Source organism: Homo sapiens, chromosome 19 (assembly GCF_000001405.40).
Source record: "Homo sapiens chromosome 19, GRCh38.p14 Primary Assembly".
Lineage (NCBI taxonomy): Eukaryota > Metazoa > Chordata > Mammalia > Primates > Hominidae > Homo > Homo sapiens.
Genome location: NC_000019.10, coordinates 35,314,035 through 35,327,961, shown reverse-complemented (window position 1 = coordinate 35,327,961; position 13,927 = coordinate 35,314,035). Strand labels below are relative to the sequence as shown.

General features: G+C 47.2%; 2 annotated features.

Moving 5' to 3' along the window:
* Window positions 4,454-4,513: a silencer, noted in NCBI's record as "silent region_10524". NCBI's record gives its function as "represses an Ori minimal core promoter by ATAC-STARR-seq in GM12878 lymphoblastoid cells {active_cell/tissue: GM12878}" and the evidence as "EXISTENCE:reporter gene assay evidence [ECO:0000049][PMID:35858748]".
* Window positions 8,738-8,917: an enhancer, noted in NCBI's record as "active region_14467". NCBI's record gives its function as "activates an Ori minimal core promoter by ATAC-STARR-seq in GM12878 lymphoblastoid cells {active_cell/tissue: GM12878}" and the evidence as "EXISTENCE:reporter gene assay evidence [ECO:0000049][PMID:35858748]".

The following is a 13,927-nucleotide window of genomic DNA, read 5'->3' as shown; positions in this document are numbered from 1 at the left end:
AGGAGCAGAACAGACAGCATTGGAAGCCATGCACATCCTACAGATGAAGAGGGATGCGCTGAGAGGTCTTCACTCCAGCACCACTGCCCTCTATGGGCAGCTGGCCATAGGGAGGGAAACAGAGAGAGGGAAGAACACCTTCTTCCAAAAGCACCGATAGGGCTGGGTGTGGTGACTTATGCCTGTAATACGCTTTGGGAGAGCAAGGCAAGAGGATTGCTTAAGGCCAGAAGTTTGAGACCAACCTGAACAACACAGCAAAACTCTGTGGGGCTAGTCAACAAAAGCAAAAAATGAAAAGTAGCTGGGCATGGTGGCCCATGCCTGTGGTCCAAACTACTTGGGAGGCTGAGGCAGGAGGATCGCTTGAGCCTGGGAGTTCAAGGCTTCAGTCAGCCATGATAGCACCACTGCACTCCAGCCCAGGCAACAAAGTAAGACCTTGTCTCAGTAAATAATAAATAAATAAAATGAACAAAAAGCAGTGATGTTCTGGAAAGATGGAGTAGATGTATTTATTTATTCTGCCAAGTATAACTGAAAACCTTGAACGTGACAAGACAAGCATAAGAAGACTGAAAGATGGAGAGAAGCAGACTGGTTAGGAACCTCGGGACTTAAGGAATGGTGGTGAATTCCCTGGGATTTCTCTTTGCCTCATATATCTCAGGCTGAATACTGGAGAAGCCAACAACTGAAAATGCCAAGGGGCACAAACAAGAAAAAGTCCCAACAGAACAAGTTCTAGCAAAACTATGCTTTTCTAGCCAAAGAACGAGGAAAGGGGCATCCTAGAAAGACAGAGCTCTTTTAGTCCATACCTGCTCCGCTCCATCCAAGTTCCATCATCACCCTTGTCAGCAAAGGCCGGATGGAAAACCTAGACATTCACCTTCACCAGGCTGTAACAAAGAACCCTAGGCCACTCCCATACTCAGCCAGAGTGATGCTAGAGTTGGAGCTGGGACATTCCTCCCCACTGGGATCACCCTCCCCCGATGTGGTGTTGGTGGAAACCATGTGGGCAGCCTGGACATCCACTGCCACCCCAATGCAGAAATGAGGCATTCCACCCGGCCCCATTGGAGTAGTGTCAAAGGGGGCCTGGTGGAGAGTTGGGACTTTCGCCACCACTCAGTGGTAACAAGCACCCCCCTCTCTCTGCCACACACAGTGTCAGTGAAAGCCACATAGGGAGCAGTAATGAAGCATCCCTCCCACTCCCAGCCAGGGAGTTGTCATGGATTCCTAGTGGGGAACCTGAACTTCTACCCTTACCAAACAATAACATGGAGGCCTCATCTCTCCCAACCCCCCAGGTTCAGGAAAGGCTGGATGGAGAACCTGGACTTTTATCCCTGTCTGGAAGCAATCAGGCAGTGCCCTACTTTATTTCGCTGGAGCAGTATAAAGGGAAGCCCACTAAAACAAAATATTTAAAGAAGATCCAGAATCTTATAACACAGTGCCCAGAATATCCTGACTTCAATGGCAAATCACTTGTCATACTAGGAATCAGGCATTCTCAAACTGAATAACAAAAGATAATTAACAGACACAAACATCAAGACGACACAGATGTTAGAATTATCTGACAAAGATTTTGGAGCAGCCATCATAAAAGTGTTTCACTGAGAAATTATAAATGTGCTTGAAACAAATAAAATAATAAAAAGTATCAGCAAAGAAATAGAAAATATAAAGAAGAACCAAATGGAAACTTTAGAACTAAAAAATACAACTAAAAAATACAAGAGCTGAAATAAAAACCATAATGGATGGGCTCAATAGCAGAATGGAGAGTATAGAAGAAAGAAGCAGTGAAACAAAACGTATAACAATAGAAATTACCCATTCTGAACAATGGAAAGAAAATAGATGAAAGAAAATGGAACAAAGCCTCAAGGACATGAGTAACTATAATAAAAGAAGATCTAACATTTTGTCATTGAAGTCCCAGAAGGGGAGGAAAAGGAGGGTGGGCCTTAAAAAAATATTCCAAGAAGTAATGGCTGCAAATTATCTTCATTTGACAACACACACGCACAACATATGTCTACAGATTCAAGAAGCTGAGCGCATCACAAACAGGATAAACCCAAAGAAATTCATGCCAAGACACATCATAGTCAAACTTCTAAAAACAAGAGGCAGAGAAAATTCTCGAAAGCAACCACATAAAAATGCAAAAAATTAGCCAGTTGGGTGGTGCGTGCCTGTAGTCCCAGCTACTCAGGAGGCCAAGGCAGGAGGATCACTTGAACCTGGGAGGCGGAGGTTGCAGTGAGCTGAGATCCTGCCACTGCACTCCAGCCTGGGCAACAGAGCGAAACTCTGTCTTAATTAAAAAGTAAAATAAAATAAAAACAAAAAACCTCTGGAAGATAACATAGGAGAAAATCTGTGAGACTTAGAGCTTGATGAAGTGTTCTTAGACATGACACCAAAGGCATGATCCCTAAAAAAATCAATCCAACTTCATCAAAATTAATTTTTTTTTGCTCTGTAAAAGACCTAGTTAAGAGAATGAAAAGACAAATTACAGACTAAGAGAAAATATTTGCAAACCACATATCTGACAAAGGACTCCTATCTAGAACAAATATATAAAGAACTCTCAAATTCAACATAGAAACACTACATAAAAAAATCAAATCATCCAATTAGAAGACTGGCAAAAGATATAAAGAGAAATTTCACCCAAGGGGATATATGGATAGAAAATAATTATCTAAAAAGATATTCAACATCACTAGCCTTTAGACAGGTTAAGACCATGATGAGATATCACTACTAACATCTATAAGAACAGCTAAAATAAAAGATAGTATCAAATACTGGAAAGATGTATGGAAACTAAATCATTTATATATTGCTAGTGTGAATATAAAATTGTCCAGCCACTCTGGAAAAAAGTCTCAAAACAGTTCCTCCAAAGATTAAGCATAGAATTACCATACACTCCTGCATCTCCACTCTTACATATATAACCAAGAGAAATAAGAACATGTTCACCCAGAAACTTGAACACAAATGTTTACAGCAGCATTATTCATGAAAGCCAAAAAGCAGAAACAACCCACATGTCCATGAAGAGATGAATGAATAAAGAAAATATGGGAGACCTAAACAATAAAATATTATTTGATAATAAAAAGGAATGAAGTACTGATAGATACTACAACATGGATGAACTTTTTTTCGAGACCGAGTTTCACTTGTTGCCCAGGCTGGAGTGCAGTGGTGCCATCTCGGCTCACTGCAACCTCTGCCTCCCAGGTTCAAGCGATTCTCCTGCCTCAACCTTCTGAGTGACTGGGATTACAGGCATCCGCCACCACGCCCAGCTAATTATTCATATTGTTAGTAGAGACGGGGTTTTACCATGTTGGCCAGACTGGTCCTGAACTCCTGACCTCAGGTGATCCACCCGCCTTGGCCTCCCAAAGTGCTGGGATTACAGGCGTGAGCCACGGCGCCTGGATATGGATGAACTTTGAAAACATTAAGTGAAAGAAGCCAATCACAAAATGTCACATATTGTATGATTCCATTCACGTGAAATATTCAGAAAAGGCAAATCTGTAGAGACAGAAGTAGATGTAGCGGTTGCGTAGGGCTGGGGTGGGGTGGGAAAGGTAAGAGGAAATGAAGAGTGACTGCTAATGGATGTGAGATTATTTTGGGGTGATGAAATGTTCTAAAACTGGTTGTGGTGATGGTTGCATAATTCAGTGAATAGACCCAAAACCATTCAATTGGACATTTTACATGGGTGTGTTTTATGGTATGTGAATTATATCTCAGCAAAGCTGTTATATATGTAGTATATATGTAATATATAACAGCTTTACATACAGCTTTAACACACATATGTGTGCATATATGTGTGTGTATGTATATTGTGTGTGTGTGTGTACATATATATATATATAAAATAAAAATCAGGCTGGGCACGATGGCTCACACCTGTAATCCCAGCACTTTGGGAAGCAAAGTGGATCACCTGAGGTCAGGAGTTCAAGACCAGCCTGGCCAACATGGCAAAACCCCATCTCTACTAAAAATACAAAAATTAGCAGGCATGGTGGTGTGCGCCTATAATCCCAGCTGCTCAGGAAGCTGAGGCAGGAGAGTCACCTGAGCCCAGGAGGCGGAGGTTGCAGTGAGCTGAGATCCCACCACTGCACTCCAGCCTGGGCGACAGAGTGAGACTCTGTCTCTAAATAAATAAATAAATAAATAAATAAATAAATAAATAAATAAAAAACAGTCCAGTTAGAAAATAGGCAAAAGACATGATGACACCTTTCCCTGAAGAAGGTATATAGAAGGCAAATAAGCACATGAAAAGATGTCTCACATCACCAGCCATTAGTGAAATGCAAATTGAAACCCATGACAAGATACCGCTTTAGAACAGCTAAAATTAAATAACCAATAATGACAACACCAAACACTGGTGAGGATGCTGTGAACTTGAAACATTCACACACGACTGGTGGGGATGCAAAGTGGTCCAGCTACTCTGGAAAACAGTTTGCCGGTTTCCTGAAAAACTAAACAAAATATACCTACCAGATGACCCAGCAATTGCACTCCTGGGCATTTTATCCCTAAGAAATGAAAACGTATGTCCACATAAAAACCTGCACACAATTATTCACAGCAGCTTTGTTTGTAATAGCCAAAAACTGGAAACAGGCCAGGCACGGTGGCTCACGCCTGTAATCCCAGCACTTTGGGAGGCCGAGGTGGGCGATCACCTGAGGTCAGGAGTAATCTCAGCATTTTGCGAGGCCAAGGAGGGCAATCACCTGAGGTCAGGAGTTCGAGACCAGCCTGGCCAACATTGTGAAATCCTGTCTCTATTAAAAATACAAAATGAGCTGGTCGTGGCGGTACATGCTGGTAATCCCAGTGTAAATAGTAAAGTAGAAGTTCCTTTTCAAAGAGACTGTCCTCCCCATCTAATTAAGAATAAATAGTAACTTCTCTTAGAAGCAAAATTTATTCAAAGACCTGTGCTAACATTCTTAAATATCTACTAGCCATAATAAAAAAATCAATGTACTTTATGTTCTTAGATCCTACAATTTAGCCTAAAGATTTGCCCTAGCATGCTTATACTAGTCCAAGAAAGCATTAAGTCAAAGCCTGTTCCTCTTCCTTATTTAGAAATGTTTTTACTTTTCTCAGTATTCCACGTTACTTTCTCCTTCCTTTGTTCTCCTCTGCCTTTGCCTCTTTTAAAAAGTTCTAAGTTGCTAGCCAATCCAGACAAATACAGAATGTGAGGTCCCGTTTCAGCCAATAGAAACCAGACACAGCAATAAAGTAGATGCATCAAGTTATAAATGACCCTGTCTCCTTTGTTCAGTGTACTTTTGTAGCAAAACTGCTAGCGAGTATACCCTTTCTGCAGAAAGTAAAACTAGCCTTGCTGAAGAAATTAAATTTACATTAAAGTGCTATTTCTTTACAGCACCAAAAATCAAGCATTTCTAACACAAGCTACTCGGGAGGCTGAGGCAGGAGAATTGCTTGAACCTGGGAGGCAGAGGTTGCGGTAAGCCGAGATCACGCCATTGCACTCCAGCCTGGGCAACAAGAGCAAGATTCCATCTCAAGAAAAAAAAAAGCAAAACCAAAAACTGGAAACAACCAATACGTCCTTCACTAGGTGAGTGGCTTAACAGATTACGGTACATCCATGCCATGGAGTACTATGCAGCAATAAAAAGGAGTGAGATATGAAGAGGATACAGGCAACAACTTGGACGATTCTGAAGAGTGGTACAGAGAGTGAAAAAAGCCAGTCTCCAAGGATCACATGTGTTACAACATTCTTTTTGTTTGTTTGTTTTTTGAGACGGAGTTTTGCCCTTGTCCCCCAGGTTGGAGTGCAGTGGCTCGATCTCGGCTCACTGCAACCTCTGCCTCTAGGATTTAAGTGATTCTTCTACCTAAGCCTCCCGAGTAGCTGGGATTAAGGTGCCTAACACCATGCCTGGCTAATTTTTGTATTTTAGTAGAGATGGGGTTTCACCATGTTGGTCAGGCTGGTCTCAAATTCCTGACCTCAAGTGATCCACCTGCCTTAGCCTCCCAAAGTGCTGGGATGACAGGTGTGAGCCACCACGCCCAGGCATAACATTCTTGAAATGACAAAATGATAGAGGTGGAGAAGATGAAAAGTTGCCAGGGGTTAGGGATGGTAGGGGAAAGTGTCTGACTATGAAGGGAGTAGCACAAGGGAGGTCTTTGTAGTAACAGAATAATTCTGTATCTGGACTGCAGTTGTTGTTATATACATCCAGATGTGATAAAATGACATAGAACTGTACACACACATTATACCAATGTCAAATTCCTGGTTTTGATATTGTCCTGAATGACTTAAGAAGTAACCATCAGGGGATGCTGGGTGAAGAGTACACCAGACTTCTCTATTCTATCTTTGCAACTTCTGTGAATCTATACTTATTAAAAAAAAAAAAATTTAAGACAGTCTCGCTCTGTCACCCAGGAAGGAGTGAAGTGGTGTGATCATAGCTCACTGCAGCCTTGAACTTGAGGTGGGCTCAAGTAATCCTCAGCCACCTGAGTAACTAGAACTACAGGTACCAGCCACCATACCCCGTTAATTTATTTTTTATTTTTTATTGAGTCGGGGTCTCACATTTCCCATTCTGGTCTCCAACTCCTGTCCTCAAGCAATCCACTTCCTCAGCCTTCCAAGATGCTGGGATTACAGGAGCCAGTCACCGCACCTGGCCGTATATTTTTATTTTTTTAATCCCAGGAATCTCAATGGGGGACTCCAAGCCAGGTGGCCAGGTCCCAAAGGTCTCAGGGAGGGTACCCTTTGGGGCTTGAATTCCTGCTCCTCACCTAGAAGGAGTAGCTGAGGTTTCTGCAGGCCACAGCACCAGGTGTGGCTCATAGTCTTCTAACAGGAGGAGATTGGGCTTGTGGACGTGTCTTGATTTCTGGAGGCCAAGGGCTGCGTGGAGAAGGCAAGGGAGGAGGAGCAGGACTCCTGAGAACGCAGCCTCGGCGCTTTCACTCTTCCTCCCTGTTCCTTCAAACAGGTCGTTGGTCTCCTTTTTTGGTGACTTGACTGTCACCCCTTTACCAGGGAAGCAGTGAAAGCAGGCAACTAACAGAGTCCCTGTGAGCCCTGGGTGGCTACTCCCTGCCTGGCTATGTCCCCCTCACCCCCCAACCTCTGCCCAGGATGGTAAGACGGGAACAATGATAGTGCCTTCCTCACCGGGCTGGTGACAGCACACACAGGACACACTCAGCAACTCGCACATCCCATGACAAGCATGTGGTAAAAAGACCCGGGTTCCAGTCCCAGGTCTGCCACGTGTTTGTTGTGACATCACCTCAGTTTCCCTCCCAGGGTGATAATAAGATTGCTGTTATGACTTCAGGGCTATGCTGTGACAGGTCCCCAGCCCCTACAGCACTTTGCATGGTGGCTGCTATGGAACGGGCTCTCTGTAAAAGTGAGCTGTCATTATTCCAGACATTGTCACTTACGCTGCTGACCCAGCACTCCCTGCAGACATTAATTCACCCACCTCTGGCTACTCAGCCCTAGCCTGAGCTTCACAGAGAGGCCCTTTGGGACTAAACTGTCATTTCCTTCCCGCTCCCCAGGCAGATCGAGCTCTAGGGTGGGAAGGGGCCTTTGGCTCAGCTGCTGCCAGACTTCTCTGTTCTATCTTTGCAACTTCCTGTGATAATTATTTCAAAATTAAAAGATTTTTTTTTTTAATTTGCGAGGTTGAGGTTGTCACCTCCTGTTTAAGGAGCAGCCTGGAGTTGAGAGCGAGAAGAGTGGGGAAAGAAAGAGGCTCGCCTACTTCTCCTTTTTTTCTCCCCCTTTTTCTTTTCTTTCTTTTTTTTTTTTTTTTTTTTTTTTCTGAGACCAAGTCTCACTCTGTTGTCCAGGCTGGAGTGCAATGGTGCGATCTCAGCTCACTGCAGCCTCCGCCTCCCAGGTTCAAGCAATTCTCCTGCCTTAGCCTTCTGAGTAGCTGGGACTACAGGCGCGTACCACCACGCCTGGCTAATTTTTGTATTTTTAGTAGAGATGGGGTTTTGCCATGCTGGCCAGGCTGGTCTTAAACTCCTGACCTTAGATGATCTGCCCGCCTTGGCCTCCCAAAGTGCTGGGATTACAGGCATGAGCACCACATTCGATCTTTTTTTTTTTCTTTTTTAGTGACTGAGTCTTACTCTGTTGCCCAGGCTGGCATGCAGTGGTGCACTCATAGCTCACTGCAGATTCAAACTCCTGGGCTCAAGTGGTCCTCCTGCTTCAGCCTCTTGAGTAGCTGGGATGACAGGCATGCACTACTGTGCCCAGCTTATTTTTAAACATTTTTTTTTCTACATACAATGTCTGCTGTGTTGCCCAGGCTGGTCTTGAACTCCTAGAAAGCACTTCTCAGCAGTGCGGTGCATCTCTACCCCCGGCCAGTCGCAAGAGCCCAGCCCTGCATGATCACCCACCTGGGGAGGAGGCTCTGGAGTGGCCAGTGCTGGCTGGGAGCTCTTTCATCAAGGAGGATAATGGAGCTGCCTGCCCCAGGCACTGTCCCAGGGACAGGGTGGGAGGCGGGCCAGGGATGGATCAGTCATCTCCGTCAGGAGTGACTCAGGAGGTTGGCAGACCGGGAGGGACAAAGAGACCCGTGTCATGACCATGGCCTGGTGCCTGGGTGTCCTCCCTCCCACACGTGGTGGCCCAGCCCTACTGGCACGTGAGGCCATGAGACCTTCTCACCTTCCTTCCTGCCTGGCCAACCCTCATCTCAGCGTCTGCCCCCATCTCTCTGAGTCACTGTGTCATGTGTTCTGACTCTTCCTCGGCTTGGCATTTCCCAGGGAGGGGGTGCCATCTGCCTTCCCTGTCCCTGAGGGCCTCCCTGGGCCTGAACTCGGCCGGAGTAGATCACTCTTGCGTTCTCCACTGAACCTGCCCCTCCTGCTTTCTTCAACCTCTTAAGGAAGCTGCTGGAGTCACCTTTGACTCTTCAAGTGAGTCTCACCACTTCCTCCTCCAAAATGGGTCCTGACCCCACCCCTCTCCCCATCTCCACTTCCTCTCTCTTGGACAATGGCCAGGGCCTCCCAAGCCCTGTCCCTGCCTCCACTGATAGCCTGTGCTCACTGTCCACGCAGCTGCCAGTGGGCCTCTGAAGCCTCAAGCCTGCCATCACACCCCTCCGAACTCACTTCTCCAGCGGCTTCTCAACGCGCTCTTTGAAAGCCCAAGTCCTGGCTGGGCACAGTGGTTCACACTTGTAATCCCAGCACTTTGGCAGGCAGAGGCAGGCAGATAACTTGAGGTCAGCAGTTCGAGACCAGCCCGGCCAACATGGTGAAACTCCGTGTCTATTAAAAATTAGTTGGGCATGGTGGTGCGTGCCTGTAATCCCAGCTACTTGGGAGGCTGAGGCAGGAGAATCACCTGAACTCGGGAGGCGGAGGTTGTAATGAGCCGAGATCATGCCACTGCACTCTAGCCTTGGTGACAGAGCGAGACTCCATCTCAAAAAAAAAAAAAAAAAAAAAACCTAGGATTAAATTCCATTGCTGGGCGGGATGGCTCACGCCTGTATTCCCAGCACTTTGGGAGGCTGAGGCGGGTGGATCACCTGAGGTCAGAAGTTTAAGAGCAACCTGGTCAACATGGTGAAACCCCGTCTCTACTAAAAATATAAAAATTAGACAGGCGTGGTGGTACATGCTTGTAATCCCAGCTACTCAGGAGGCTGAGGCAGGAAAATTGCTTGAACCCGGGAGGCAGAGGCTGCAGTGAGCTGAGATTGTGCCACTGCACTCCAGCATGGGCAACAGAGTGAGACTCTGCCTCAAAACAAACAAACAAAGAAACAAACAAACAAGCCCCAGTCCTGCCTGTGGCCTACAAGGCCCTGTGTAATCGAGCTTCCTTGGGCAACAGAGCGATACTCTGCCTCAAAACAAACAAACAAAGAAACAAACAAACAAGCCCCAGTCCTGCCTGTGGCCTACAAGGCCCTGTGTAATCGAGCTTCCTTGGGCAACCACTCTGGCTCCATCACTCCACTCAAGCATGCTTCTTTCCTTCTTGTTCCATGAAGGTAACAAGTACATTCTCGCCAGGGGCCTTTGCACTCGATTTTGGCCTTCCCTGGACCCACATTCCCCAGGAACCCACAGAGCTCCCTCCCTTACTTCCTTCTGGTCTCAAGTCAAATGACTTCTCTTTCTGAAATGGCAGCCTGACCCAGCACAGCCTGACCTTGCACCCCTCTGCAGTTCCTTCACTGTCAGATGTGCGGTCATGTGTTTGCTTGTCTTTCTGATCGTTGTCTGTCTCTTCTGCAGAATGTCAGCTCTGGGAGGTCACAGAGTGATTCTTTTTGGGCACTGCTGTGACCCTGGGGCCCAGCATAGGCCTGGCACACAGAGGTGCTCAGTGAGCATGTGTTGAATTCTGGTGGGGTCCAGGAGCTGGGTGGGGAAAGTCTGAGAGAGTGAACTTGAGTTCAGGTCCTACTGGTTTGTTTGTTCGTTTTTTGAGACAGGGTCTCACTCTGTTGCTGAGGCTGGAGTGCAATGGTTCAATCTCGGCTCACTGCAAACTCCATTTCCTGGGCTCAAACTATCCCTCCCACCTCAGCCTCCCGAGTAGGTAGGACTACAGGCGCATGCCACCATACCTGCCTAATTTTTGTATTTTTTGTAGAGACAGGGTCTCGCTATGTTGCTGAGGCTGGTCTCAAACTCCTGGGCTGAAGCCATCCACCAGCCTCAGCCTCCCAAAGTGCTGGGATTACAGGCATGAGCCACCGCACCTGGCTCGGTCCTACACGTTCGCCATGGCTGAGTGCCGGTCCCTCCTAAGGATGGTCTTTGTGTCAAATTCCCTCATTGTTTCCCAAACTTTAGAGGTTTGCCTACAACCTTCAGGAGCCACCTGCAACATGTTTATTTAATACATTTTTAAAATCAGTTCAGTTGATTGATTTCTTTCTTATTTATTTATTTTGACTTAGCCTCATCCGAAGCTGGTGCGGCATTCTGGTTTCCTGTTGTTCCGGTGCATACTAAATGAAGCATACACAGTAGCGTCACAGTGGCTCCCAGGGCCCTCAAGCTGCACTTTGGGCAGCGTGAGTTACTCCCCGATCCCTGGTTATTGACAATGTTTTGCTCCTCTGGGTGAAGTCCTCCCAGGCCAGACCTGCTGGAGCCAGAGTCTGTCGTCAGGGGACAGGTGTGTCAGGGCAGGGCTGGTGAGCATGTATGCAGGGGATCTGGAAGAGGCTTCCCTCCCGGCTGCTGAGAGGCCCCTGTGTATCCCCAGCCCCATCCGATGCCTCTCTGGCCTTGCTTCAGCTCCTGGAATTTTGCTAAACATGTTCCCACTTGGGGCCTTCACACATGTGTGAGTTTCCTTCCATAGGGAAGCCTCCCCTGCCCCCTGTGACCTTAAGTCACACAGCGGTCCCCAACCTTTTTGGCACCAGGGATTGGTTTCATGGAAGACAATTTTTCCATGGGCCTGAGAGTGGGGAGGGAGCTGGGGATGATTCAAGCACATTACATTTATTGTGCACTTTATTTCTATTATTATTACATTGTGATATATAATGAAGTAAGTATACAACTCACCATCATGTAGAATCAGTGGGAGCCCTGAGCTTGTTTCCCTGCAACTAGACGTTCCCATCCGGGGGTGATGGGAGACAGTGACAGTTCATCAGGCACCATCTGTGAGTGTGCAACCTAGATCCTTTGCGTGCACAGTTCACGATAAGAATCGTGCTGCTATGAGAATCTAAAGCCGCTGCTGATCTGACAGGAGGCAGGACTCAGGTGGTCATGCTTGCTCGCTGGCTGCTCGCCTCCTGCTGTGCAGCCCAGTCCCTAACAGGCCACAGACCAGTATCTGGGTGTGCAGTATAGCACTGGGGACCCCTGCTGTAAAAACTCTGAGCTTCTCCTTGGAAGCCGGTGTCACAGTTGCAGTTTGATATTGTGCATGAGATTCTTTCATGTCCTTGTCCCTGCAAGACTGTGAGCTCCGTGAAGAAAGGGCATGCACCCTCCCAGCTTGGACAGGCCCCACAGAGGGTTTCCCTTCCCACAGCCCGGCCCCCCACACGTCTCCTTTCCTCCTGCATGTGGACTTCCCATCCCAGCCAAGCAGCCCCATGTCACCTCCCCTCCCGACCTGGTTTGTTTATTCCTGCCTCTAGGCCTTTATTTTGGTCTCTGTGCTGTGTCCTCTGCCTTCTTCAAAATGCAGGGAGAGACCAGGCACAGGGGCTCATGCCTGTAATCCCAGCACTTTGGGAGGGTGGGTTGGGCGCATCACCTGAGGTCAGGAGTTCGAGACCAGCCTGGCCAACAATGGTGAAACCCCGTCTCTACTAAAAATACAAAAATTAGCTGGGTGTGGTGGCACACGCCTGTAGTCCCAGCTACTTGGGAGGCTGAGGCAGAAGAAGTGCTTGAACCTGGGAAGCAGAGGTTGCAGTGAGCCAAGATCGTGCCACTGCATTCCAGACTGGATGACAGAGTGAGACTCCATCTCAAAAAATAAACAAAAAAAACAAAAAACAAAAAAAAATCAGGGAGAGCTGCCGTCTAGGAAACCCTGCCCTCACTGCCCGCAGCCCACAGCTTAACCTTACTGCTCCTCCAGCACCCGGGCTCTGTGAGCAGCTGTTGGTTCTCACCAAGATGGCCGTGTAGCACAGCGTCAGAGTGTGGCCTCCGAAGCCAGTGGTCGGGGCTCAAATCTGGGCTCCACTGCTAACAATTGGGGACCACAGAACTGATGTAACTTCTCCATGCTTCAGCTGCTTGTTCTCAAACGTGCACGTGCATCAGAATCCACCAAGGACTTCTCAAAACACAGATTCCTGGGCCCCACCTCAGGGTTTTTGATTCCTGAAGTCTAGGGTGGGGGCTGAAAATTTGCCTTTTTAGCAAGTTCCTGGGTGCTGCTGATGCTGCTGCCTAGGGACCACACTTTGAGAACCATTGTCATAGTTATTAGGGAAGGTAAATGAGGTTAATGGAGATTAATTAATGCAAACTGGGTAGAATCATAGAAAGCGTTCAACAACTGTTAGTTATCAATCCCATTTATACCAGACACTCTGGCCCTTTTTAACTTCCTGACAGGTATTATAGAAAAAGTGCATTTGATACAAAAATTAGCCGGGCGTGGTGGCGAGTGCCTGTGATCTCAGCTACTTGGGAGGCTGAGGCAGGAGAATCACTTGAACCCAGGAGGCGGAGGTTGCAGTGAGCTGAGATTGCACCACTGCACTCCAGCCTGGGTGACAGAGACAGACTCCATCAAAAAAAAGAGAGAGAGAGAGAGAGAGGGAGGAAGGGAAAAGAAAAGAAAGAGTGCATTTGAATCAGAAGCATCAACCCCATGGCCTGGACACACCGTTTCCGAGCTCTGGGACCCTGGGAAAATCACCTAACTTCTCTAAGTCTCAGTGTTCTCATCGTCACAGAGCTGTCCTAGGAGACCCTTCTCAGGACAGCCTGAGCCTCTAGAAAGGGCTCAGTATACAGCTGGTGCTTAATTAATGTTTCTGGAACTGAATGTAGTGATGTATAAAGGCTGACGCTGCAAATTGCAGCATGAATGTGAGAGATGGTGGTGAAACCAACACGGGCTGGTGAGACCTAGATCTGTGGCTCGCACTCCAAGCTGCAGGGACCAGGAGGTAATCTCAGTGCAGGAAGCCGGCCAGGTGTGGGACAATAGGGAGTGGTGGGGACTGCGGCCAGTGCACAGGACCCTCCCTTTCAGCAAGTCATGTCCACGTACAAGTGCAAGCCTGGTGCTGTCAGCTGATCTGACTGCGGCAAAAACCAGCATGAGGATTTT